This window comes from Homo sapiens, chromosome 1, assembly GCF_000001405.40.
Source record: "Homo sapiens chromosome 1, GRCh38.p14 Primary Assembly".
NCBI lineage: Eukaryota > Metazoa > Chordata > Mammalia > Primates > Hominidae > Homo > Homo sapiens.
Window position 1 is genome coordinate 42,147,385 of NC_000001.11, and position 22,581 is coordinate 42,169,965.

Genomic DNA, 22,581 nt, shown 5'->3' on the forward strand with positions numbered 1-22,581 from the left:
GCTTCTGGGAATTCTATCACATCTTGGTTTATACAACTCTCCCTACAGAGTCTTCCAGATCAACTGTTCATGTGTTGATCCTTCCTTAAATTTTTCATCTCTCTGTTTTATGCTTTGATGTAAAGTGATAGTTAAGGGCATTGGGTCCACTTTCCATCCTCCTATCTTTTCTTGAACTCATTCCAATCGGGTTTTCATCCTCCCCACTGTTAGAATTGGTCTTATCAAGGTCAGCAGTGACTTCCATATAGCCAAATCCAAGGACAATTCTCTGTCTTCATTTTACTAGAGCTAACCACATTTGACCAAGTGAGCATGTTCTTGCTCCTGAAGCCCTTTCTTCATTGGGCTTCAAAGACGCAAGTCTCTTTTTGTTCTTCATCAACTGTTCCTTCCCCGCCATCCACTCTGCTGGTTCCTCCTTCTCTGCCTCATCTCCAGGTATTACAGTGCCCTAGAGCTCAGCCCTGGGACCTTTCCTCTCCGTCCTGTCACTCTCTCAATCCAGTTTCAGGTCTCTGAGCACCAGATACACTTGATGACCACGCTATCTATATCTGTGGCCCACTCCTTTACTCACATCTCAAACAGGCATCTCAAGCTTAATGTGTCCAGACCCAGCTCTTGATAGACTCACCTGACATGTTCCTTCCCATTTCTCATCTCAGTAAATGGCAGCACCAATTGACTTGGGGCCACCATAGAGTTGTCCTGGACTGCTCTCTTCATTCACTCTTTCCATCCAAGCACACAAAATCTGAGGCCTCTGGCTTCAGAGAATCTCTAGAATCCAACCCTTTCTCATCATCTCTATTCCCACCTCCCTATCCAAGTCACCAAACTGCCCTGTGGGCAGTGGTTTGTCTGTTTTGTTAAGTGCTGTATCCCATGCTAGTACATAATAGGCTGTAAGTTAATCATTTTTGATTAAACAATCGAATGCCCTAGGGGCTTCTATGCACACAAAACACAAAAAGCATTCTGTTTCTCAGTAAACAAGTGATTTCACAACTATGAAAACAATAATAACATACATTTTTTGAACACCTACCACATGCCAGCAAGATGCTAGATGAGGTGATTAAGGCTCAGAGAAATAGGAAATGGCCAAAGGCTAAATATCTAGTGCTTGGTGGAATAGGTACTTGAATCATATCCATTTATTCAATTCATCCAGTATTTGTTGAGCACCAATTATGTGCCAGGTATTGTTTTGGGAGAATAAAACTGGCAAATTCCTTACTCTAATAGAAAGATGCAAGAAATGAGATGTGTATATATGACAGGTGCTATGAGAAAGAAGAGAATTAGGAGTGATGGGGAAACTCTCTGAGGGAGGAAGATCAAGAAAGATCTCTGAGGCAGTGGCATTTGAGCAGAGACCTGCATGAAGAGAGGGGTGAAGAGCAAAGACCTAAAGGTAAATAATCTTCGTGTGTTTGGGGGACCTCAAGGAAGCTAGGGTGGCTGAAACTCAGAGAGTGAAGGGCAGAGTTTTTGGAGTTGAGGTCAAAGATAAAGATGGGATGCCAAATGGTCCTTGTAGGCAGAAGCCTTTGGGTTTTCCTCTGAGTGAAGTGGAAAGCCACTAGTAGGTGTGAGCGGGGGAGAGACATGATGATCTGACTCAGAATTTAATAGGATTCCTCTGGCTGCTACATGGAGAAAGGCCTGGAGAAGGTCCAGGGAGATCTGTATGGATGCTTGCGATGGTTAATTTTATGTGTCACCTTGGCCAGGTCATGATGCCCAGCTGTTTGATAAAACACCAGTCTAGATGTTGCTGTGAAAATAATTTTTATGTGATAAACATTTATAATCAGTAGACTTTGATTAAGCAGATGACCCTTCATAAATGGTAGGTGGGCTTCCTATCCAATCAGTTGAAAGCCTTAAGAGAAAAGACCTTGGGAGGCCAAGGCGCGTGGATCACCTGAGGTCAGGAGTTCGAGACCAGCTTGGCCAACATGGCAAAGCCCCATCTCTACTAAAAATACAAAAATTAGCTGGGCATGGTGGCGGGTGCCTGTAATCCCAGCTACTCAGGAGGATGAGGCAGGAGAATTGCTTGAACCCGGGAGGCGGAGGTTACAGTGAGCCGAGATCACACCACTGCACTCCAGCATGGGTGACAGAACGAGACTCCATCTCAAAAATAAAATAAAATAAAATAAAGGCTTTCTTCAGGAAGAAGCATTTTGCCTCAATGACTGCAACATAGGAACCCTAAGTTTCTCACCTGCTAGCCTGCCCTGCAGATTTCAGAGTCAAGACTGCAATATCAAATCTAATTTGAATTTCCAGCCTGCCAAACTTCCCTACAGATTTCAGACTTACCAGCTCAGCAGTCATGTGAGCCAGTTCTTTAAAATAAATTTAGTTAGATGACACATAGATAGATCTATCCAATAGGATAGACGTGCCAGGTATTGTTTCAGGAGAACAAAACAAATTCTTTACTGTAATAGAACTTACATTCTAGGAGACAGAAAGATGCAAAACTTTAGATGGATATGTATGACAGGTGCTACGAGAAAGCAAGTTAAAAGAGTTAGGAGTGGTGGGAGAAGCTCTCTGAAGTAAGATTTTTTTCAGTGTGATTAACATTTACAATCAGTAGACTTTCTAGTAAGAAATATATATCTCTATATAGGATGTATGTGTGTGTGTGTGTTCTGTATCTGTGTGTGGGTGTGTGTGTGTGTATGTTCTGCTTATCTGGAGAACCCTGCCTAATATAAGGCTATTGCAATAATCCATTCAACCTGTGATGATAGCTTGAACCTTGATCATAGCAGTGGAGATGATGAGAAACGGGTGGAATCCAGAAATATCTTGAAGGTAGAGCCAACTGGATTTGCTAGTGAATTTAATTTGGCAAATAAAAAAGAGACATCAAGGATGACTCCCAGATTTTTGACTTGACAACTGGGTGAATGGTAGTACTATCAACCGGTATGAGAGGAACTGAGGAGGCCGGTAGATAAATGAGTTTGGGATTGAGAAGAAAGGCCAGGCTATGGAGTAAACAGAGTGTTGATGGTATTAAAGCCCTTGTGATGGGATAAATCGCCAAGGGGGTGATTACAGACAGGAAGAAAGACGTCCAAAGACAGCCTTGGTGCCCCCTGGGCACTCTAACACCTAGAGGTCAGGAAGAGAAGGAAAAACCAAGGAAGGAAGCTGAGAATATGGAGCCAGAGAGATTGGCAGAAAATGTGGAGAGTCCCAGGAGTCAAATGGTGAAAGCACTTTACTCCAAGAAAGATGGAGTGGTCAGCTATGACAAATGCTGTGGGGAACTGAGCAGTTTGGGGCAGGGAGAGCCCTGGGCTCTGGGCACCATAGCAGTGGGCACTGAGCAGCGAGGCCAGGGTAGAGAGCGGAGCTGCCCAAATGCACATGGGCAAACTGTCACCCACCCCACATCTGTGATTGAGGCTTCCACACAGGGTGAACTCCAGGCTCTTGTGACAGTCACTTCCCACATCCCTAAAGAAGGAAGTGCCCTGATAATACCACGTCAATGCACATGGGCTGGCCAGGGGTAGCGTCAAGGATTTGCGTCTGTGGCCAAGTTGGTTGTGATGGATGGTGGGTCATTTAGAAAGAGATTAGGAGGAGGTGGGTTTGACAAATAAACTTGAGTCATGTTAGGCAGATAGGGAAGTCATACCTGGTTCCCAGGGAAGACTGACACATGACGGGCCCTGGCTGGAGGAGCCACAGGGCGAGGAAAGGACAGACACCATGGCCAAGGGGCCCCCAGACCCTACCGCTATGTCCCATTGATGTGGGGGTCAAGGGAGATGAGCTTCCTCTCGTGGAAAGACCATAGATTTAGGTATCAAGCAGCCTCATAACAACCTCAAACACTGGAGACGTCACATTATTTTTACAAATGAGAAACTGAGATCACAGAGGTCGTCGCTTGTCCAAGGTCCTACAGTTGATCAGACCCAAGTATGGACATTCCAGCCCAGCATTGAGTTCAGCCTGTGCATGTCAGAAAGCAGCACTGGTCCTGCTATAGATTGAGAGATGGGGCTTGTCATGGGAGTTACATAAGGAGAGGCAGGGAAACCCCCCTTCATGACGCATCCCCCATAAGCCAGGCACATGCTGGGGAAATGGTTGGTTTTAGGGAGAGTCACAGGCTCTCCTGGGACAGGTATCGTTCAGTTTTTCCTTACAACAACCACTATGAGGTCTTTTTAAAAATTATTATTACTATTTTCTCTACTTTACTGATGAAGAAGCGGAGGCTCAGAGAAGCTAAGTAATGTACCAAAGATCACACAGCTGGTAAGTGCTGTCATTCGGGTTTGAACCCAGCTCTCCTCATCTCTAAGTCCTCAGTTCCTTTTTCTATAACACCACAGGCTGAGCAAAGGCAAGAATTCCAGGTAGAAAATCTGCTTACCCCTCTTGCTCCCACAGTGACAACAAACATGGTGCTTCATTGGGCCTCAGGTTACTCATCTGTAAAATGGGAATAACCATTATGCCTATCCTTTAGGATTCAATGGGATTACGACTATAACATAGCTTTGTGCACAGTATTCAAGAAATGAGAGCTATTATTCCCAGATGGTTGTTTTCATTTTACAGATTAGAGGGCATGTAAGATTCCCTTCATTTCCATAGACTCTAAAGAGCAAAGGCTGAAGTCTGGATTCAAAGCAATACATAAGAAATTCCAAAGTTCACTTGAGCTTCTTCTTCATTTCAGTCTGAGATAAGAAAAAGGAAGATGGCATTTCAGGCAGGTGGAATGAGTAGGCAAAGACATGAGATGGGATTAGACCTGTGCAAATAGGGTTGGTATGGGGAAGCACGATGACATCAGATTTTAGCCACTTTTGGGAGTGGCATCTTAAATGCCAAGGTGAGCTATCAGGGCTTCAATCCAACGTTCAGGCTCAATGTCAGGGGAGCCTGCCACATGCCAGAGTCTGTGCCTGGCAGAGCTGAGCCCTGGCACACGCACTGTTTACAGCTGCCTGGTATGGCAGTGGTGATATCACCCTTAGAGACTTTGCCCTCTTCTCTCTGACCCAACCTTCAACCACTGGGGCAGTAGGTTATGCATTGCCTAGAAGGCAACTGTAAGATTCAGGGGCTGCTATGGATGCATTACCCAGGAGATAAGGGCAACCTCAGGTGGGCCGGGGCCCTCACAGCAACCTTACGAGAGGGGTTGTATCATGCCCATTTGATGGAAGAGAAAACTAAGATTCCATTAGAATTGATGTGACGTATCCTAAATCACACAGCTGCAGCAGGACTAGGATTTGAATGCGGGTCAATCTGCCTCCAACACTACTGCCTTTTCCTCCATGCTGGATTAGGCTATTGGCTTCTGAAAGCACAGACAGGTGAGATGGGTCAAACATGGCCTGAAGCACCCAGGCACAGGTGGGAGATGGCAAGCAGAGGCAGGTTCAAAACGTGGGGCCAGGACTGGTCTGAAAGATAGTCGTTAAATAGCACTGAGGAGAGGGAGTGAGAGAGATGTGGGTCTTGGGGGAGTGGGGTCTTGAGAACCCTGAAATCAGCAGTGTCTGCCCACTTTGCCCTGGACCAGCCTCTCTGTCTGTATCCTTCCCCCAGAGAAAGGACCATGGGCTGACCTGGGCCAAGGACACCTGGCTGGAGCCCCTTCTCTGACATTAACTAGCTCCGTGACCTGGGGAAAGCCACCCTCCCTCCTGAGCCTCACTTTTCCTGTCTGTAAAATGGCCTCCCCGTCATCACACCCACACAGGTGTCTTGAGGAGTGAATGATGGTGTGCTCCAAGGCCCCCATGGAGAGCCCGGCACATGGCAGGCACTCGGTGTTCAAGCACTGTGTTCCCATAGACTCTGGGCTCCTGCCCTCCTCGCCCCCAACCCCCTTCCTAGGAACCAGCCCCGGCTTGTCAGAGAGCCAGCTAGCTGTCAACCCCACCCCAGCTGGCCAGTTAATGAGTGACCAGGACTCCTGAGCCTGACCTATAAGGAGGTGCTAGGCAGGGACACAGATGGGAGACGGTGGACAGCGGCAGGGGGAACCCAGGGAGCGCGATGGGCTGCAGGGCTGCATCAGGGCTCCTGCCAGGAGTGGCCGTGGTCCTCCTGCTGCTGCTGCAGAGCACACAGTCAGTCTACATCCAGGTGAGTCCCTTGGCCAGCGTTCCCTTTGCCTGAAGGGCCCCATGGTGGGAGGCTAGGCTGGAGAGGGTGTACTGGGAATTCAGAGGGGCACCGGGGGAGCACGGGGCCCGGGGCTCAGCCCAACACCCATCACAGCCCAGAGACCAAGGCAGCTGGTGGGTGGGGGCAGCCAGATGTTGATGGCAGTGATGATGGCAATGACAACACCAAACTGATTCAGCGCTGCTCCCCTCAAAGGCCCGTGCTGGTCACAGAGGTCAGGGTGTGGAACAGAAGGCTCCTCCTTGCATGGGAGGAGGCCAGAAAGGGAAGGAGACACCCTGTTATGCTCCCACAGTTCCGTATATTCACCCACATGTAGGTGGAGGAGGACAGGCTCCAGAAAAATTTTCCTGAGAAGTAACCCTTGAGCTGGCATTGCAAGATGAACAGGAGGTTGCCAGACACAGATGATGGGGAAACTGTTCCAGGCCAAGGGGCACAGCATGTGCAAAGACCAGATAGAAGACTATGGGGGTTCCAGTGCCCTTCCAGGGGGCATGGGAGAGTGGCAGTAGTCGTCACAGCAGGGCCTGTCTGCCACGTCACAGGGGATGCTGCTGGCCTCGCCCAGCATAGCAGAGACGTCTGTGGCCCTGGGTGTCACATCCCTGACTCTGGGCATGGTCTCCTTGGGAAGAACAAAGTGGGTCCCAGAGAGGGGTGCAGGAGACTTGGCCTCCCCAACAGCCCTGGCCTCAGAGACCAGCTACTTGGGGCTGCCATCACTCTGCCATGTGAGCTCAGGCAGGCGTACTCAGTTAGTGATTGTGCCCTGGTACCAGGCCCCCACGGGAGATGTCAGATGAGGGAACTGAGGCTGAGTGGGGAACAGACAGGCAGCCGGTCATGGGCAGAGGTGGGATTTGAACCAGGGCTTGTCTGTCTCTAAAGCCTCGAACCACTGTGCTCCACAGCCCCGCTGCTTCTTCCTCACACCTCTCACCGCAGCGGCTCTTTCCAGTGTGGCCCTGGACTTCCCATAGAGACGGGGAAGGCTCTGGAGGATCTGCAGGGTTTGAGCAACCCTGGGTGTCATGGCAGTGCCTGCCCCTGGACCAGGTCTTGACCTGCTCCTATCTCCTCTCCCCTGTCTGTAGTACCAAGGCTTCCGGGTCCAGCTGGAATCCATGAAGAAGCTGAGTGACCTGGAGGCACAGTGGGCACCCAGCCCCCGCCTGCAGGCCCAGAGCCTCCTGCCCGCCGTGTGCCACCACCCTGCTCTGCCTCAGGACCTTCAGCCTGTCTGCGCCTCGCAGGAGGCTTCCAGCATCTTCAAGACCCTGAGTAAGTGCCCCCGCTCCCTGCAGAACCTCGCTCTGTCTCCTCCCACGCCCAGGCTCCTCCACCTGGGTTGTTTCTCTTAAGCACCCAGCGGCTGAGGATGGGGAGATTCAAGTAACTCAGGCCCTGTCCCACTGGCTCCCAGGACTCCCCGGTTTGGGCACTGTGAGTCAGGCATGCCTGGAACCTGCTTCGTCCCCTTAGTCCACGCCAGGCACAGACCCATCAACAGACAATGGCTGCGTGGAGCAGAGAGGAGAGCTGGCTGACATCTGCGATGGGACAGGGGTGTGAAAGGCTTCCAAGAGGAGGTGTCAGCCAAGCTGAAACCTGAGGGATCGTGCAGAGCCAGGCACGAGAATGTAGCAACTAGCTAGCACTTACTGAGCACCTACTGTGTGCCGGGACTTGTCGGTCCTGCATTATCTCCTCACAGTGACCCTGTCCATTTAGCAAACAAGAAATCTCAGGCACAGGGAGTGTGAGTGACTTGCCCAGTGGCCGCTAGGAAGGAGAGCATCTGGGACTTGAACCCAAGCCCTCACTCCACCTCTAGACGTTCCTGCTCCCAGTCTGTGGAAGATGCCGCCCATTCCCAAGCAGACCTCTTCTGCTGCCTGGCCACAGAGGGCCCAGGTTCAGGTCAACTGACCAGTTCTCTCCCTGCCCAGGGACCATCGCTAACGACGACTGTGAGCTGTGTGTGAACGTTGCGTGTACCGGCTGCCTCTGAGATAGCCCTGGGTACCCTGAGCCCACCAGGGACACCTCGCCCTTCAGCCCACCACCCTGGCAGGCTTCCATCCCCGTCCATGCTCAAGATGGGTCCCTGGCCACCATGGTCATCACCACCCTTCCAGGGCCTGAGCAGCTGGATCTGGTACAAAGCAATCGGACATAGAGTTGGAGGGGGAGGCCCCTGAGGCAGCCCAGCTCCTGAATAAAGATTCTACAACACACGAGTCCACGTGTCCTTTGTTCATCCCCAGGAGCCATGGGAGGAGCTTCTGGAGAAGAAGTGTGGATTGAGGAGAAAGACGGGACTAAAAATACCAGGCAGGAATTTTCCTGAAGTTTTCAAGGCCCGGGGAGTTGATTGAACCCCATCCCGAATATGAGGGAGCTGAGGCTCGGAGCAGGAATGAGGCATCCAGGATCACAGAGCTCAGAAGCCCCAGAGCCAGCCAGACCTGGCGACCCCCAGGCTGAACTCAAGGCCTCCCCAGCTTCGGAGCAAGAGCAACTGTGCTCCTGACGCAGGAGTGGGGTTGGGGCAGGGAGGAGGTGAGACAGAAGGAGAGAGTGGAGGGAAGATTCAAGCAGCATGTCCTCCCAAGCTGTAATCAGGGCCGACTCTGCCTGGGGTCTGCGTGAGAAGATCGGCCCTTGGCCTTCATCCTCATTCCCAAGCTCCCACTTTTCCCAGCCCCACAGGGACCATCTGGCCAGCTCCAGCTGGGAGGCCTTCCCACCCTCTCTCCATCCTGGCAGCCTGAGGAATATTAATAATAATTAATAGCCAACAAACGCCAGGCACAGTGGCTCACACCTGTAATTCCAGTACTTTAGGAGGCCATGATGGGAGGATTGCTTGAGGCCATGAGTTTGAGACAAACCCGGGCAACGTAGGGAGATCCCATCTCTATGAAAAAATTGAAAGTTAGCCAGAAGTATTGGCACTTGCCTGTAGTTCCAGCTACACAGGAGGCTGAGACAGGAGGATCACTTGAACCTGGGAGGTTGAGGCCATAGTGAGCTGTGATCACACCACTGAACTCCAGCCTTGGCAACAGAGCAAGACCTTGTATTTAAAAATAATAATAATTATAGGCTGGGTGTGGTGACTCACACCTGTAACCCCAGCACTTTGGGAGGTCAAGGTGGGAGGATCACTGAGGTCGGGAGTTTAAGACCAGCCTGGCCAACATGGCGAAACCCCGTCTTTACTAAATACAAAAATTAGCCAGACGTGTAATCGCAGCTACTCAGGAGGCTGAGGCAAGAGAATCACTTGAGCCCAGGAGGCGGATGTTGCAGTGAGCCGAGATTGCAGCACTGCACTCCATCCTGGGTGACAAGAACAAGACCCTGTCTCAGAAAAAAAATGAAAAAAAAATAAAAATAATTATTATTATTATAATTATAACAGCCAATGTTTATTGAGCATTCACTCTATCCCAGGCACTATCCTACTCACTTGGCACTCATGGTAACTCATGGAGTCCTCACAACAGACCGATGAAGCAGATACTGTTATTATCACCCCACCCAGTCTAAGAAGAGTCAGGTACAGAGAGAAAAACTAAGCCCAGATCATAGACCAAGCAAAATGACAAGACAGGGCACTTCCCAGGACATGTGGGCCAGGGTCCATGCTCTGACCACCATATTACTCCCTTGCTCCAGCGGATGATGCCTCATGGGGACCCAGTGCAGCCTCCACATCCTTGCAGCCAACCTCAGTGCCTTTATTCAGGCTGGGAGCCATGCTGGGAACTTCTGGGAGCAGGGCCTTTCCAGAGTGGGGTCCCCCAAAGCCTTGGTCCTGGACAGCCGCGGAGGAGCAAAGTTGGAGGCCAAGAGGCTGTGCCATCTGAACTCAGCTCCCGAAGACCCGGGTGCATGCCCAAGACAGCAGCTTAGTTCTGCTCATGAGTCCTGCAATCTCCCAGACTACAGGTTCCTCCTTGCCGTCACCCCACAGGCAAGGCTGGTGAAGGGCCTTTGCAATGCCTCCTGCAGTTCTCTGGGCCCCTACTTCTCACCCCTCCATCCTCACTCACTGGGGCCTTTATCACTACCTTTGGGCCAGGCCAGACCTTCCTTCCTGGCCCTGCGTCCTGTGGGCCCTCCATGCCCACCATGCCAGAGGAGCACCGCAGCACAACTCTGATGGTGCCCCTACTCCTCCATGGCTCCACACTGCCACCTACCAAGTCTAACCAGAGCTCGTGCACTAGCTAGATCTAGACTTATCTCCCACTGCTTCCTGCAGCTACGCTGGCTTCCCACCTGCCTGCTGGAGACAGCAAAGAGAAGTGCTGCTGTCTGAGTCCTGCCATGTGCCAGCCACACGGCTGTGCTGCTGCCCAGAAGCAGTGATGATACCAGCATCAACGAGCTGCTCTCTGTGGGCCTGGCGGAGCTTCTTCTTTTCCTTCTTCTTTGTTTACCATCTCCCCACTTCCTCCCAAACCCCAACCCCTGGTAACCACTATTCTACTCTACTTCTATGAGTTCAACTTTTTTAGATTCCACATTTCAGTGAGATCAAGTAGGATTTGTCTTTCTGTGCCTGGGTTATTTCACTTAGTGTAATGTCCCCCAGTTTCATCCACTTCGTCACCCACAACAGGATTTTTTCTTTTTTAAGGCTGAATAGTATTTCATTGTGTATATATATCACATTTCCTTGATCCATGCATTTGTTGATGGATGCCTTGGTTGATTCTATATCTTGACTATTGTGAATCATGCTGAAATAGATATGAGACTGTAGATATTTCTTTGATATACTGATTTCGCATTTTTGGCTATATGCCCAGAAGTGGGATTGCTGGATTGTATGGCATTTCTAGTTTTAATTTTTTGAGGAAACTTCATACTGTTTTCCATAATGGCTATGCTAAATTATCTTTCCACCAACAGTGTGTGAGGGTTCCATTTTCTCCACACCCTTGCCAACACTTGTTATCTTTTCTTTTTGCTAGTGTGTGTGTGTGTGTGTGTGTGTGTGTGTGTGTGTGTGTGTGTGTATTTATTTATTTATTTATTTGAGATGGGATTTTGCTATGTTGCCCAGGTCGGTCTCAAACTCCCTTGCTCAAGTGATCCTCCCGTCTCAGCCTCTCAAGTAGCTAGGATTACATACAGGTGGGTGCCCCCATACCCAGCAAGCATCTTTTTTTTTCTTTTTTGACAAAAGTCCTTCTTACAGATGTGAGGTGATATCTCATCATGATTTTAATTTGCATTTCCCTGTTGATTAGTGATGTTGAGCACCTTCTCATATACCTCCTTGCCTTTTGTATGTCTTCTTTTGAAAAATGTCACCGGGCGCAGTGGCCCACCACTGTAATCCCAGCACTTTGGGAGGCCGAGGCAGGTAGATCACCTTAGGTCAGGAGCTCTAGACCAGCCTGACCAACATGGTGAAACCCCATCTCTACTAAAAATACAAAAATTAGCTGGGCATGGTGGCACATGCCTGTAATCCCAGCTACTCGGGAGGCTGAGGCAGGAGAATCGCTTGAACTCAGGAGGCGGAAGTTGCAGTGAGCCAAGATCACGTCACTGCACTCCAGCCTGGGTGGCAGAGCAAGACTCCGTCTCAAAAAAAAAAAAAAAGAGAAATGTCTATTCAGTTGCTTTGCCTGTTTTTAAATTGGGTTGTTTTCTTGCTATTGAGTTGTTTGAATTCTGTATGGATTTCGGATATTAATCCACTAGCATATGTTTCATTTGAAATATTTTGTCTCATTCTATAGATTCTTTTCATTCCTTACCTGTGCAGAAGCAGTTTAATTTGCTGCACTCCTTTTTGTCTATTTTTGGTTTTGTTGCCTGTGGTTTTGGGATCATAGGCGAGAAATCTTTGCCAAGACCAATGTCAAGAAGTTTTCCTCTATGTTTCCTCTGGTACATTTTTTGTTGTTGTTGTTACTTTGTTTTGTTTTGGGTTTTGGTGTTTGTTTGTTTGTTTTTGGCAGGGTCTCACTGTGTTGTGTAGGCTGGCCTCAAATTCCTGGGCTCCAGTGATCCTCTTGCCTCAAGCTTCCGAGTAGCTGGGACTACAGGCATTCACCACTGCTCCTGCCTTCTTCCAGTAGCTTTACAGTTTCAGGTCTTAAGACTTTAATCCATTTTGAGTTAATTTTTGTACATGAGGTTAGATAAGTGTCTAATTTCATTTTTCTGCATGTCCCAATACCATTTATTGAAGAGACTGTCCTTTCCCCATTGTGTGATCTTGGCACTTTTGTCAAAGATCAGATTGTAAATGTGTAGATTTATTTCTGGGCTCTCTCTATTCTGTTCCATTAGTCTCGTTGTCTGCTTTGTGCCAGTACTATGCTGTTCTACAGCTCTGTAGTAGATTTTGAGATCAAGTAGTGTGATGCTTCCAGCTTTTTCTTTTTTGCTCAACATTGCTTTGGCTATTTGGGGAATTTAGGATTGTTTTTCCTATTTCTGTGAAAAAATGTAATTGGAATTTTGATAGGGATTGCATTAAATCTGTGGATCATTCTGGATAGTATAAACACTTTAAAAATATTAATTCTTCCAATCCATGAATATGGAATACCTTTCCATTTATTTGTATCTTGTTTAATTTCTTTCATCAATGTTTTATGTTTTTCTAGTGTTTGATTCTTTTCCATCATTGGTTAAATTTATTCCTAAGATGTGTGTTGTTGTTGTTGCTGTTTAAATGGGCTTGTTTTCTTGATTTCTTTTTCAGATCATTCATTGTTAATTATAGAAATGCTACTGATTTTTGTATGTTGATTTTGTAATCTGCAACTTTACTAAATTTGCTTATTAGTTCTAATAGCTTTTTAGTAGAGTCTCTAGAGTTTTCTATACATAAGATGATGTCATTTGCAAATACAGACAATTTAACTTCTTCCTTTCCAAGTTGGATGCTTTTTTATTTTTTTTCTTGCCTAATTGCTCTGGTTAGGGCTTCCAGTACAGCACTATGTTGAATAAAAGTGGCAAGAATGGGCACCCTTGTCTGGTTCCTGATGTTAAAGGGATAGCTTCCAATGCTTTTGAGTATTCTCCCTTTTTCTTAGTCTAGCTAAAGATTTTGCAATTTTATTTATCTTTTCAAAAACCCAACTCTTACTTTTGTTCATCTTTTCTATTGTTTTTCTGGTTTCTATTTCAGTTATTTCTGCTCTGATCTTTTCTTCGTTAACTTTGGGCTTAGTTTGTTCTTTTTAGTTCCTTGAGGTAAAACAATAGGTTGTTTATATGAAATCTTTCTTCTTTTTTGATGTAGGCATTTATTGCTATAAATTTCCCTCTTTGAACTGCTTTTGCTGCACCCCATAAGCTTTTGTATGCTGTATTTTCGTTTTCACTTGTCTCAAGATACTTTTCAATTTCCCTTTTGATTTCTTATTTGACCCAGTGGTTGTTCAAAACCAGGGGAGTTTTAAAAATTTTTCCAGCATTTTTTCATTTACTCTTCACTCAACCCTATGATATATGGATTCTTATCTTCCCCATTTTACAGATGAGAAAACTGAGGAGAGAACAGGCTAGGTAGCCTGCCTAAAGGCACATAGCTGTAAAAGACAGAGCCAGGATTTATACCCAAAGAGTCTGGCTCCAGAGTTAGGGCATTAAATGATTCTACTCTACCATACATCTCACTTAATCCCCCGCCAACCTTGGGAGGTAGGGTCTGTTATCATCCTCACTTTCAGATGAGAAACCAAGCCTCAGAGAGGGACACTCAGCTTGTAAATGACACAGTAAGGCTCAAACTCAGTCCTGTCTGCCTTCCCAAGCTCCACTCTGTCCTGACTGAACCATTCCTATGTCTTTGTGTCTGTCTGCACCATTCCCACCTTCTGCAACACTCTCTTTCTCCCTACTTCCACACTGGTTTTGAAATTCCCTGCATCCCAGTGCAAATCTCGAGGGGTGATGCAAATGCACTTGCCCTTCCCCTTTCACAAAGCCTTACTGATCTCAACTAGAAGAGACCTTATGTTTTGAATTCTGAAGCCCATGGAATCCCCCTTGAGACACTTCCCCTCCACCCCACTCCTCAAGATGGACCCTTGGGAGTTCTGCCTCCTCTTTTTTTTGTTCCCTCTACCTTTGCTAATAGGCCTCACTTCCACACCCTGCCTCCTCACCCTGTCTGAACCACTTTCAGCCTGATCCTGGTCCCCTTTTCTCTAGTTTGTTTTACCACTTATTGAATTCCTCTTACGTTTGTGTCAGGCCTGAACTGAGGGCTTTATATGCATTATTTCACCCAGCCTGGGAGGCAGGAAATATTAGTGTCCCAGTTTTATAGAGGAAGAGGTGGAGGCACAGAGAGGGAAGGTGACTTTCCAAAGATCACACAGTACTTGGAAAAGCTGTGGCTGGGCCCCTGCCCTGTTTTATATCCTCATGCAATTATCCATGTGGGTCTGGAGGTCAGAGAGACTTCCCCAGGCACAGAAGCCATTACACAACAGGGTGGCCACAGCTGTGCAAGGGTTGTGGGTGATCACAGTGCCCAGAAAGCACCAAGGTCAAGGTCACAATGGGAGCACTGAGACTCTTCCTGGGGGGTTGAGCAAGTTGTCTTGAGGAGAGGCCGTGGAATGAAAGCCTTGGACCCTGAGTAGGAGTTTGCCTGGACAGTAGTGTGGGAAGACGGGCAGTGGAGAGGTGAGCAGCAGCAGAGGAAATGGCAAGAGGTGTGGTTTGGGATGTGGTCAGGGCTGGAGGCCACACTAGCATGGCTGGTGGGAGCCAAGTCCTTGAATACCCAAGAGTTTGGTGCCAGTCTTCTAGTGGGCCAAGTGCCTGTATTGGTTGTCCAAACCAGCTCAGACTGGCTCCCGTGCTCACATGTGGCTCAGTGAACTTGGTGACCTCAGGAGATGTGAAATAAAAGCAAACCCTCCCCACCACCCGCTGCCTTGGTGGTTTGGAGATCCAGATCCTCTCCACGCCTCTGTGTTGTGGCAGCCCCAGGGACAGTGAGCAGCTTAGCAGGGAGAGTGGGGTCCTTCGCTTAGTACATTACATCCCGAGCTTCCAGGGCAGGATAGACTAGGGGATGAAGGAAGGAAGGAAGGCAACACCCAGAGTACTCTGGAATCTGGTTTATTAGCTGGGGGTTGAAGTGGCAGGGAAGGACAGTGTTGGGGCGAGGCCTCCAGTCACCCAGTTCCTCCCCGGGCTGCTCCTCCCGACTGGACCAGGGTAGGTTGAGCTGCTGGGAGTGGAGTATCATGGGTGGCCCTTTCTGCAGGAGAAAAGAGCTTCCCTGCTGCGGAGGGGAGGCAGGCAGTGGGCAAGCCCCCCTAGCATCCGGTACAGGCAGCGTAGGCACAGATTTCACATGTGCCCGGGTCCTCAGCGATTTCCTCTGCACAACAGAGATGGAGCCTCGTGAGAACCAGCATTTCCTCGCGAGGCCCCTGCCGCCCTTGGCCCAGAGCTTGTACGTCACCACCCAGCCCCAGGAGAATCTCAGCAGGCCCGTACTCTGACCTACTGGGCTTTTCGCCCCAAACCAGGGCACACAGACCACTCAAACCAACCAATCAAAGCAGAGATTCCACCAGAAAGAGAGGAAACTAAGACCAGATGAATGGTCTTAGTTCCCAAACCTCAGCAGTTACAACTTGGAATTGAAGTGGGCATGGAACAGACCCACCAATCAGAGCCAAGCTCCCTAGTTCCACCAGTCAGAGCTGAGCCCTTCCTCCAAATCCCACCAATCAGAGCACATCTCTTCCTCAAGTGCCACCACAGTATTCCCGAACCCCACCAATCAGAGAGGAAGGAGGCTGCTCACCCAGCCTCTGAAGTATCTCCTGGGCATTGGGCTCCTTGCAGAGAGGCTTGAGTTCTTCTGGAAAGTTCGGGTTGCTACAGAGGATGGGAACCACAGGTTCACCAGGGATGGGTGCAAAGTTCCTGAGTTTCCCAACCCTGGGCTCCTGGGGCTCCTGGAGGTCTTTGAGCTTCTTCACTGACTCCAGAGAAAAGGAGAAATTTCCATCCTGGAAGAGAGAAGCCCAGAGCATGAGGCCAGGCTGCAGCCTGCTTCCTGGCTGTGCCCCCCGTGCTGGCCCCGGTCCAGCCCAGTGGTGCTCACAGGCAGTGTTCGTGGCATATGGGAGCCAGGCGATCCACAGTGGGGCACTGTGAGGGGCAGAGTTCAGGCCCCACGTCCTGGCTTGGCTCCGTGATGCTGGACACTCTGGAACCCGCAAATTCTGCATGTTGTATGGGGAATGGAGAAAATGGGTGTGAAGCTCCAGGAACACCATAGGTGCCTAATGAGTAGGAGCCAGTGTGCTGATTTTTAGGGAGAGGCAAAGGACCAGCACCCAGGCATCGTAGTTCCACGTGGCCAAGCCCAGGCTGTCTTTCCCCTGCCTGAGAGCGGTGCGGCTGATTACTGGGCCCCCAGCTCCAGCCTGCAGCCTGGTTTTGGTTTGAGAAGCAATAAAAGGCCTCCCGGAATCTGGCTTTGATAGAGATCAGGGCCCCCGCTAGGTGCCAGCTTGGCCTGTCGCCAGCATTGGCACTGGTAGGCATACCCATCTGTCAGGACCTCCAGGGTGTCCATGTGGTTCCTGGGACCCACTGAGGAGTAAGGTCTGGATTTAAATCCAGCTCCTGCACTTCCCACAGCCATGTGCCCATGGCCTGTTACAGAACCTTTGTGAGGCTCAGTTTTCCCCTCTGTAAAATGGGACTAATGATCCCTTTCTTCCAGGTTGATAGTGGAGCCACAGTGAGGGGCTGGGGAAGGAGCCGGCACATAGGACACTCAGTAAATTGGCCAACTCCCCGCCTTCCCCATATGGTTATTCCTCTTCCCTCCACTGGGTTTCTTTCTCCTCCAAAGTTGAAGGGAAAGGTGTGTGTGTGGCTGGACTGAGCAGGAGCTCCTCGAAGAAGGCCAAGCCTGGGACACACACCCTCAATCCAGCCCCAAAGAGGAGGTACTCTCTCAGGGGACCAGACCTGGGCACTAGGGGCAGGGAGCCAGCTGGGCCGGGGTAGGGACACAGGACTCACCTGCACGGTGACCCCTCCTGCCAAGGCGGCCCAGGCCCCAAGGAGGCACAGTGCGGAGAGCAGGAAGGCATTCATGGCAGCAGTGCCCGAGAGAGGGGTGGCTGTTCTGGATGCCAGGGGGAAGCGGCGGGACTTTTAAAGAGGGCAGGTTACTGAGTAACCTGGAAGCCTCTGTCAGTCTCATCTGCTCACCTGTCAGGCCTTATCAGATAAGGCTCGAGACAGCCCTAGGAGATAAGAGCCAGGCAGGGGGGGCCCCGGCCCCTCCCTGAGCACCTACTTTGACCCACAGCCGGGCTGGGTCCTGCATTCATTCACCAACAAGGCACATTCACTCACGACTGCCCTGTGCTGCTGTGTGGGGCCGGCAGACCCTGCCCTTGAGGAGGGGGGCCCAGCCCGACAGTGAAACGCAGGGCGATTAGGGTGGGGTGATCCTAGGATGAGGTGACGGGGCTGCACTGGGGGCTGAGCTCTGGAGAATGGGTGGAAGTTTTCCCAGAGAAGGGACTGAGGACAGAAGGCCATTTCATGCCAAAGGGACAGCCAGGAGGTGAGACGGGCCTGGAATATTCAGGGAAATGTGAGAAATTCCACGGGGGAGGCTGCAGGGCAAGTCAGGGTCTGGGTTTGATTGCCGCGACCTCAAGGAAGCCCTCCGCACAGCCTGGGTTCCGTTCCACCTACTGCCCAGTTGTGAGGCGTGTGAACTTGGGCCAATGCTTTCCCCTCTCTGAGTCTCGTTGTCCCTTGTGTCCCCTGTGGGAACCAAAAATAATACCTACCTCATGGGGTAGGTGTGTGGTAGGCATTACTGTTTGGAGAATCAAGTGAGGTTTTAAAAACATTTAGCTCAATGCCTGGCACACAGAAGGTGCTCAGCAGAGGTCCATTCCCATATTATTAGCAGCCACAGCAGCTCCTGGTCCTCCCTGGCCCCTCTGGTGACCTCCTGCCTGTCTGAGTCACAGGCTGTCCCCATCCTGTGCTGGTCCCCATCCTGTCCTGCCTGCCCTGCAGCCTCAGGGTGTCCTCGAATGAGCTCCTCCCCAATCCGCCCGCCCCCCTTGCCCCTGCAGATACAGTCCCCTTTCCGCGGATCTCACTGGGGAATTGCTTGGGTGTGCCCGCGCCCCTATAGACTCTGACCCCATTCAGACTGCGCCCTCAGGGCAGCGTGCATTCACTGTGTGCTGTTGTGAGCAGGAATCCCCAGGACACAGGAGAAAGGGTAGCCCTGGGATTGTCATCTTTCTACTCAGCCAACCTGGCCCGATGCCAGGACAGCCCTAGGGCGGGAGGTTGGGCAGGAATTCCTGGGTGGGGAGAGTCAACACTGAAGAGGGAATTGGAGAGAGCAGGGCCTGACCAGGAGGGAACTGCAGGGACAAGGCCCTCAGGGAGGGGCAGGTAGCTCCTGGCCCAGCTCCCAGGGCAGTCCTCACAGCTGCACTGGATTTCCCACCCCTTTCTGGTGAGTGTGTGTGTGTGTGTGTGTGTGTGTGTGTTAAGGGGGGGTGTGTCTGCGGAGATGTGTATGTCTGTGTATGCCAAGGTGTCTGTATATACCCTGATGGGTGTGTGTAGCCAAGGTGTGTTTGTATGTGTGCTTGTGCTGAAGGTGTGTGTGTGCTGAGGCATGTGTGTACACTGAGGAGTGTATGTGTATATATGCTGAGGTGTATGTGTGTGTATGCTGAGGGGTATATGTGTGTCCGTGTACACCAAGGTATCTGTGTCTGTGCAAGGAGGTGTGCATATATACATCGAGGTGTGTGTGTGTCAGTGTGTATATACACAGGCGCGTGTGTGTACACCGAGGTGTGTGTGTTTGCTGGGATGTGTGTCTGCTGGGGTGTCTGCTGGGGTGTGTGTATGTGCACTGAGGTATGTGTGTGTGTATGCTCATGTGTGTATATGCACTGAGATATGTGTGTGTATGTGCACTGAGGTGTGTGTGTGTATGCTGAGCTGAGTGCATCTGCTGTGTTGTGCGTGTGTGTGCCGAGGTGTGTGTATACACTGAGGTGCATGTATGCGCTGAGGTGTGTGTGTGCTGACGTGTGTGAGTGCTGACGTGTGTGTATACACTGAGGTGCGTATGTGTGCTGAGGTGCGTATGTGTGCTGAGGTGTGTGTGTGCTGACGTGTGTGTATACACTGAGGTGTGTGTGTGTGCTGAGGTGTGTGTGTGTGCTGAGCTGTGTGTGTGCTGATGTGTGTGTATACACTGAGGTGTGTGTGAGTGCTGATGTGTGTGTATACACTGAGGAGCGTGTGTGTGCTGAGGTATGTGTGCGCTGATGTGTGTGTATACACTGAGGTGCGTGTGTGTGCTGAGGTGTGTGTGTGCTGACATGTGTGTATACACTGAGGTGCGTGTATGTGCTGAGGTGTGTGAGTGCTGACGTGTGTGTATACACTGAGGTGTGTGTGCGCTGACGTGTGTGTATACACTGAGGTGTGTGTGCTGACGTGTGTATACACTGTGTGTGTGCTGAGGTGTGTGTGTGTGCTGAGCTGTGTGTGTGCTGATGTGTGTGTATACACTGAGGTGTGTGTGAGTGCTGACATGTGTGTATACACTGAGGAGCGTGTGTGTGCTGAGGTATGTGTGCGCTGATGTGTGTGTATACACTGAGGTGCGTGTGTGTGCTGAGGTGTGTGTGTGCTGACATGTGTGTATACACTGAGGTGCGTGTATGTGCTGAGGTGTGTGAGTGCTGACGTGTGTGTATACACTGAGGTGTGTGTGCGCTGACGTGTGTGTATACACTGAGGTGTGTGTGCTGACGTGTGTATACACTGTGTGTGTGCTGAGGTGTGTGTGTGCTGACGTGTGTGTATACACTGAGGTGCGTGTGTGCTGAAGTGTGTGTATACACTGAGGTGTGCGTGAGTGCTGACGTGTGTGTATACACTGAGGTGTGTGTGAGTGCTGACGTGTGTGTGTGCACTGACGTGTGTGTGTGCTGACGTGTGTGTATACACTGAGGTGTGTGTGCGTGCCTGGACATGTGTGTGTGCCCACCAAGGTCAGCCACACACTGGTCCCCTCGCTGAGGGCAGGTGGGAGTGGGCGTGGGAGTGAGTGGGGTTAGGGGAAGGAATGGGGCTGAGGGTCGGGGCGTGGGACTTGGATGCTGAGCAACAGGATGTCGGGGGATGGAGCTGGGGGAAAGGTGAGGGGCAGGAGTTTCGGAGGCTGGGGTGGGGATGAACACCGGGAGAAGTTCGGGAGTGCGGCTGAGCTCCATGCTAGACTGGAGCCGGGGCTTGCGGAGACCGGAGCGGGGTTGGGATTGGGGTCAATTCGGGCGACACTAAAGTTGGTTTGGATTAGGGTCAGGTTGAGATGGAGCTGAGGTTGGGCAGGGGTAAATTAGAGTTAGGTGTGGAGCCGAGGGCGCAGTCCAGATTGAACTGATGTGGTGCTTGTAACTGACGTGGAGGCTGGTTTGGGCTAGGTTAGGGCTCATTGGCAGGACTGGGATTGGAGTTGAGTTTGCAGCAGAGATTGGAGGTGTGACTGGGTTAGGTTTATGATGGGGGTGGGTCTGGCTTAAGTGTGACGCTACAGCTGGGTTGGGATTTGACTTTCAGTTAAGGATGGGGCTTAGGTGGGGCCACCAGGCTGAGGACCTGTTTTTTCTGACTCATTTTGGTCTTTCCCCTCCCAAGCTGTGGCAGGAATGGGGGTAAAGGGCAGGGGCTTTCATCCCTGAGCCTCTTTCTCCCACAGCCCCCCTGGCCAAGGCTTGCCTGCTATAAGGCAGGGATGGAATGGAGTGGGTTCAGGAGTGACATCACTCCACACTGTGGGAAAGAGGAAGTGACTCCTAGGCCATGGCCCTTAGGGTCCTCCCCTACCCAACTCCACCTCTGACCTCTACCCTGGGAAATGGGAACCAACTCCCCTTCCCTTGTTCCCCAAGCCCCTCTGCCTAGTCTGGCCCCAGCCGTGAGTTCAGGCCCCCTCCCCTCTGAACCTCCAGGGTGCTCAGGACCTCTGCAGCCTGCTCTGAAGCTGCTGGAAGTTGGATCTTGGGCTCTTCCCAGAACTCCAAGCTTCCTGCCTCCCACCCCAGCCTACACCCTGAGTCCTCAGGCCCTGGTCCCCAGCACCCCCACATCCCTCATTCTTCCATATGGGCAGAAGGAGGGTCTGAGGCTGTTTGGGTTTCCCACACTCCAAGACTGCCTTTTCTGGCAAACTCTTGCTCCTAATAGCCTTCCAGGCCATGCCACCTGTCCTGCCTGCCTCCCCCTCTGAAAACCCATCAGTGGCTGCCCAAACCCTTTGGAAGAAAGCCAGCCTCCCTTGCCTGGCATTCAGGGTTTTTGTGATCAGGCCCCTGCTGAGCTCTCCATTCAACCAGGATCCCAAAGGACTCCCTGGAGTGGACCCAGAAGGAGGGACTTAAACCTGGGGTGCTGTGGCTTCAAGGGCTCAGGCTTCGGAGCCAGGCAACCCTGTATTAGAATCCAGTGTCACCGGCCAGGCTTGCGATGGCTCATGCCTGTAATCCCAGCACTTTGGGAGGCAGAGGCGGGTGGATCACGAGGTCAGGAGTTCAAGACCAGCCTGGCCAACATAGTGAAACCCCGTCTCTACTAAAAATACAAAAATTAGCTGGGTATGGTGATACATGCATGTAGTTCCAGCTACTCGGGAGGCTGAGGCAGGAGAATTGTTTGAACCCATGAGGCAGAGGTTGCAGTGAGCCGAGATCGCACCACCACACTCCAGCCTGGGCGACAGAGCGAGGAAAAATGCTCCATGACCTTTCTGAGCCTCAGTTTCTGCTTTAAAAAATGGAGACAATAACAGCTAGATTGCAAATTTCAGTTTTTCTGGAAGACTCTCCTAACTGACCCCAGCCCTGGCAAGCCCGAGTTAAGACCATTTCTACTCCTCTGAGCTCCACCAGCCTCCTACACCTTTGCCATCACAAAACTTAGCAAATTGTCTGTCTAGCCTACTGCCCTGGGAGCTGCTTGAAAGCAGAGACTGTGTCCTACTCAACTGAGGCCCTGTACTCATACAAGGCCTGGCACTTAGTAGGTACCACTGAGTCTTTAAAGAATGAGGCAGGTTGTAATGTTTGCAATGATCATCACATTAATGACAGCAGCTAATATTTGTCAAGACTCACCCTGTGCCAGGCTCTGGCCAAGTGCTTTACAAGTGTGGAAGCCAGTCTTGCTCCCTAAAGCCCCGCCACCCCTCACCCACTTCCAGAAGCTGCAGAGGTTCTGCCCTGCTGTTGGGGCAGCCCTCCAGTCTCTGTGAAGATGCTGATGTTTGATTCTTGTGTCTAGGTGATC

The 22,581-nt window shown here is 50.7% G+C and overlaps 2 protein-coding genes across 2 annotated transcripts, besides 1 other annotated feature; one reads left to right on the forward strand and one right to left on the reverse strand.

Annotated features, from left to right (window-relative positions):
• Positions 1-6,025: 6,025 nt before the first annotated feature.
• On the forward strand, positions 6,026-8,436 carry GUCA2B (guanylate cyclase activator 2B). The gene is made up of 3 exons (NM_007102.3): positions 6,026-6,156; positions 7,296-7,482; positions 8,151-8,436. The coding sequence occupies exons 1-3, from the start codon at positions 6,067-6,069 to the stop codon at positions 8,210-8,212; spliced, it is 339 nt and encodes a 112-aa protein (NP_009033.1). The 5' UTR covers positions 6,026-6,066; the 3' UTR covers positions 8,213-8,436.
• Positions 8,437-15,305: 6,869 nt separating this feature from the next.
• Positions 15,306-17,361, reverse strand: GUCA2A (guanylate cyclase activator 2A). Its single transcript, NM_033553.3, has 3 exons — positions 17,254-17,361; positions 16,019-16,226; positions 15,306-15,586 (listed from the first exon to the last, which is right to left on the reverse strand). The coding sequence occupies exons 1-3, from the start codon at positions 17,326-17,328 to the stop codon at positions 15,522-15,524; spliced, it is 348 nt and encodes a 115-aa protein (NP_291031.2). The 5' UTR covers positions 17,329-17,361; the 3' UTR covers positions 15,306-15,521.
• Positions 17,221-18,185: an enhancer, noted in NCBI's record as "H3K4me1 hESC enhancer chr1:42630276-42631240 (GRCh37/hg19 assembly coordinates)". NCBI's record gives its function as "activates a minimal SCP1, AML or CMV promoter by ChIP-STARR-seq in naive and primed H9 embryonic stem cells {active_cell/tissue: H9 hESC(naive and primed)}" and the evidence as "EXISTENCE:reporter gene assay evidence [ECO:0000049][PMID:30033119]".

Coding starts and splice junctions, on each gene's coding strand:
- GUCA2B (NM_007102.3), top strand. CDS start 6,067: ATGGGCTGCAGGGCTGCATCAGGGCTCCTGCCAGGAGTGGCCGTGGTC. Junction 6,157..7,295: donor CACAGTCAGTCTACATCCAG/GTGAGTCCCTTG, acceptor CCCTGTCTGTAG/TACCAAGGCTTCCGGGTCCA. Junction 7,483..8,150: donor CAGCATCTTCAAGACCCTGA/GTAAGTGCCCCC, acceptor CTCCCTGCCCAG/GGACCATCGCTAACGACGAC.
- GUCA2A (NM_033553.3), bottom strand. CDS start 17,328: ATGAATGCCTTCCTGCTCTCCGCACTGTGCCTCCTTGGGGCCTGGGCC. Junction 16,227..17,253: donor CAGGAGGGGTCACCGTGCAG/GTGAGTCCTGTG, acceptor TCTCTCTTCCAG/GATGGAAATTTCTCCTTTTC. Junction 15,587..16,018: donor GGAGATACTTCAGAGGCTGG/GTGAGCAGCCTC, acceptor TCTGTTGTGCAG/AGGAAATCGCTGAGGACCCG.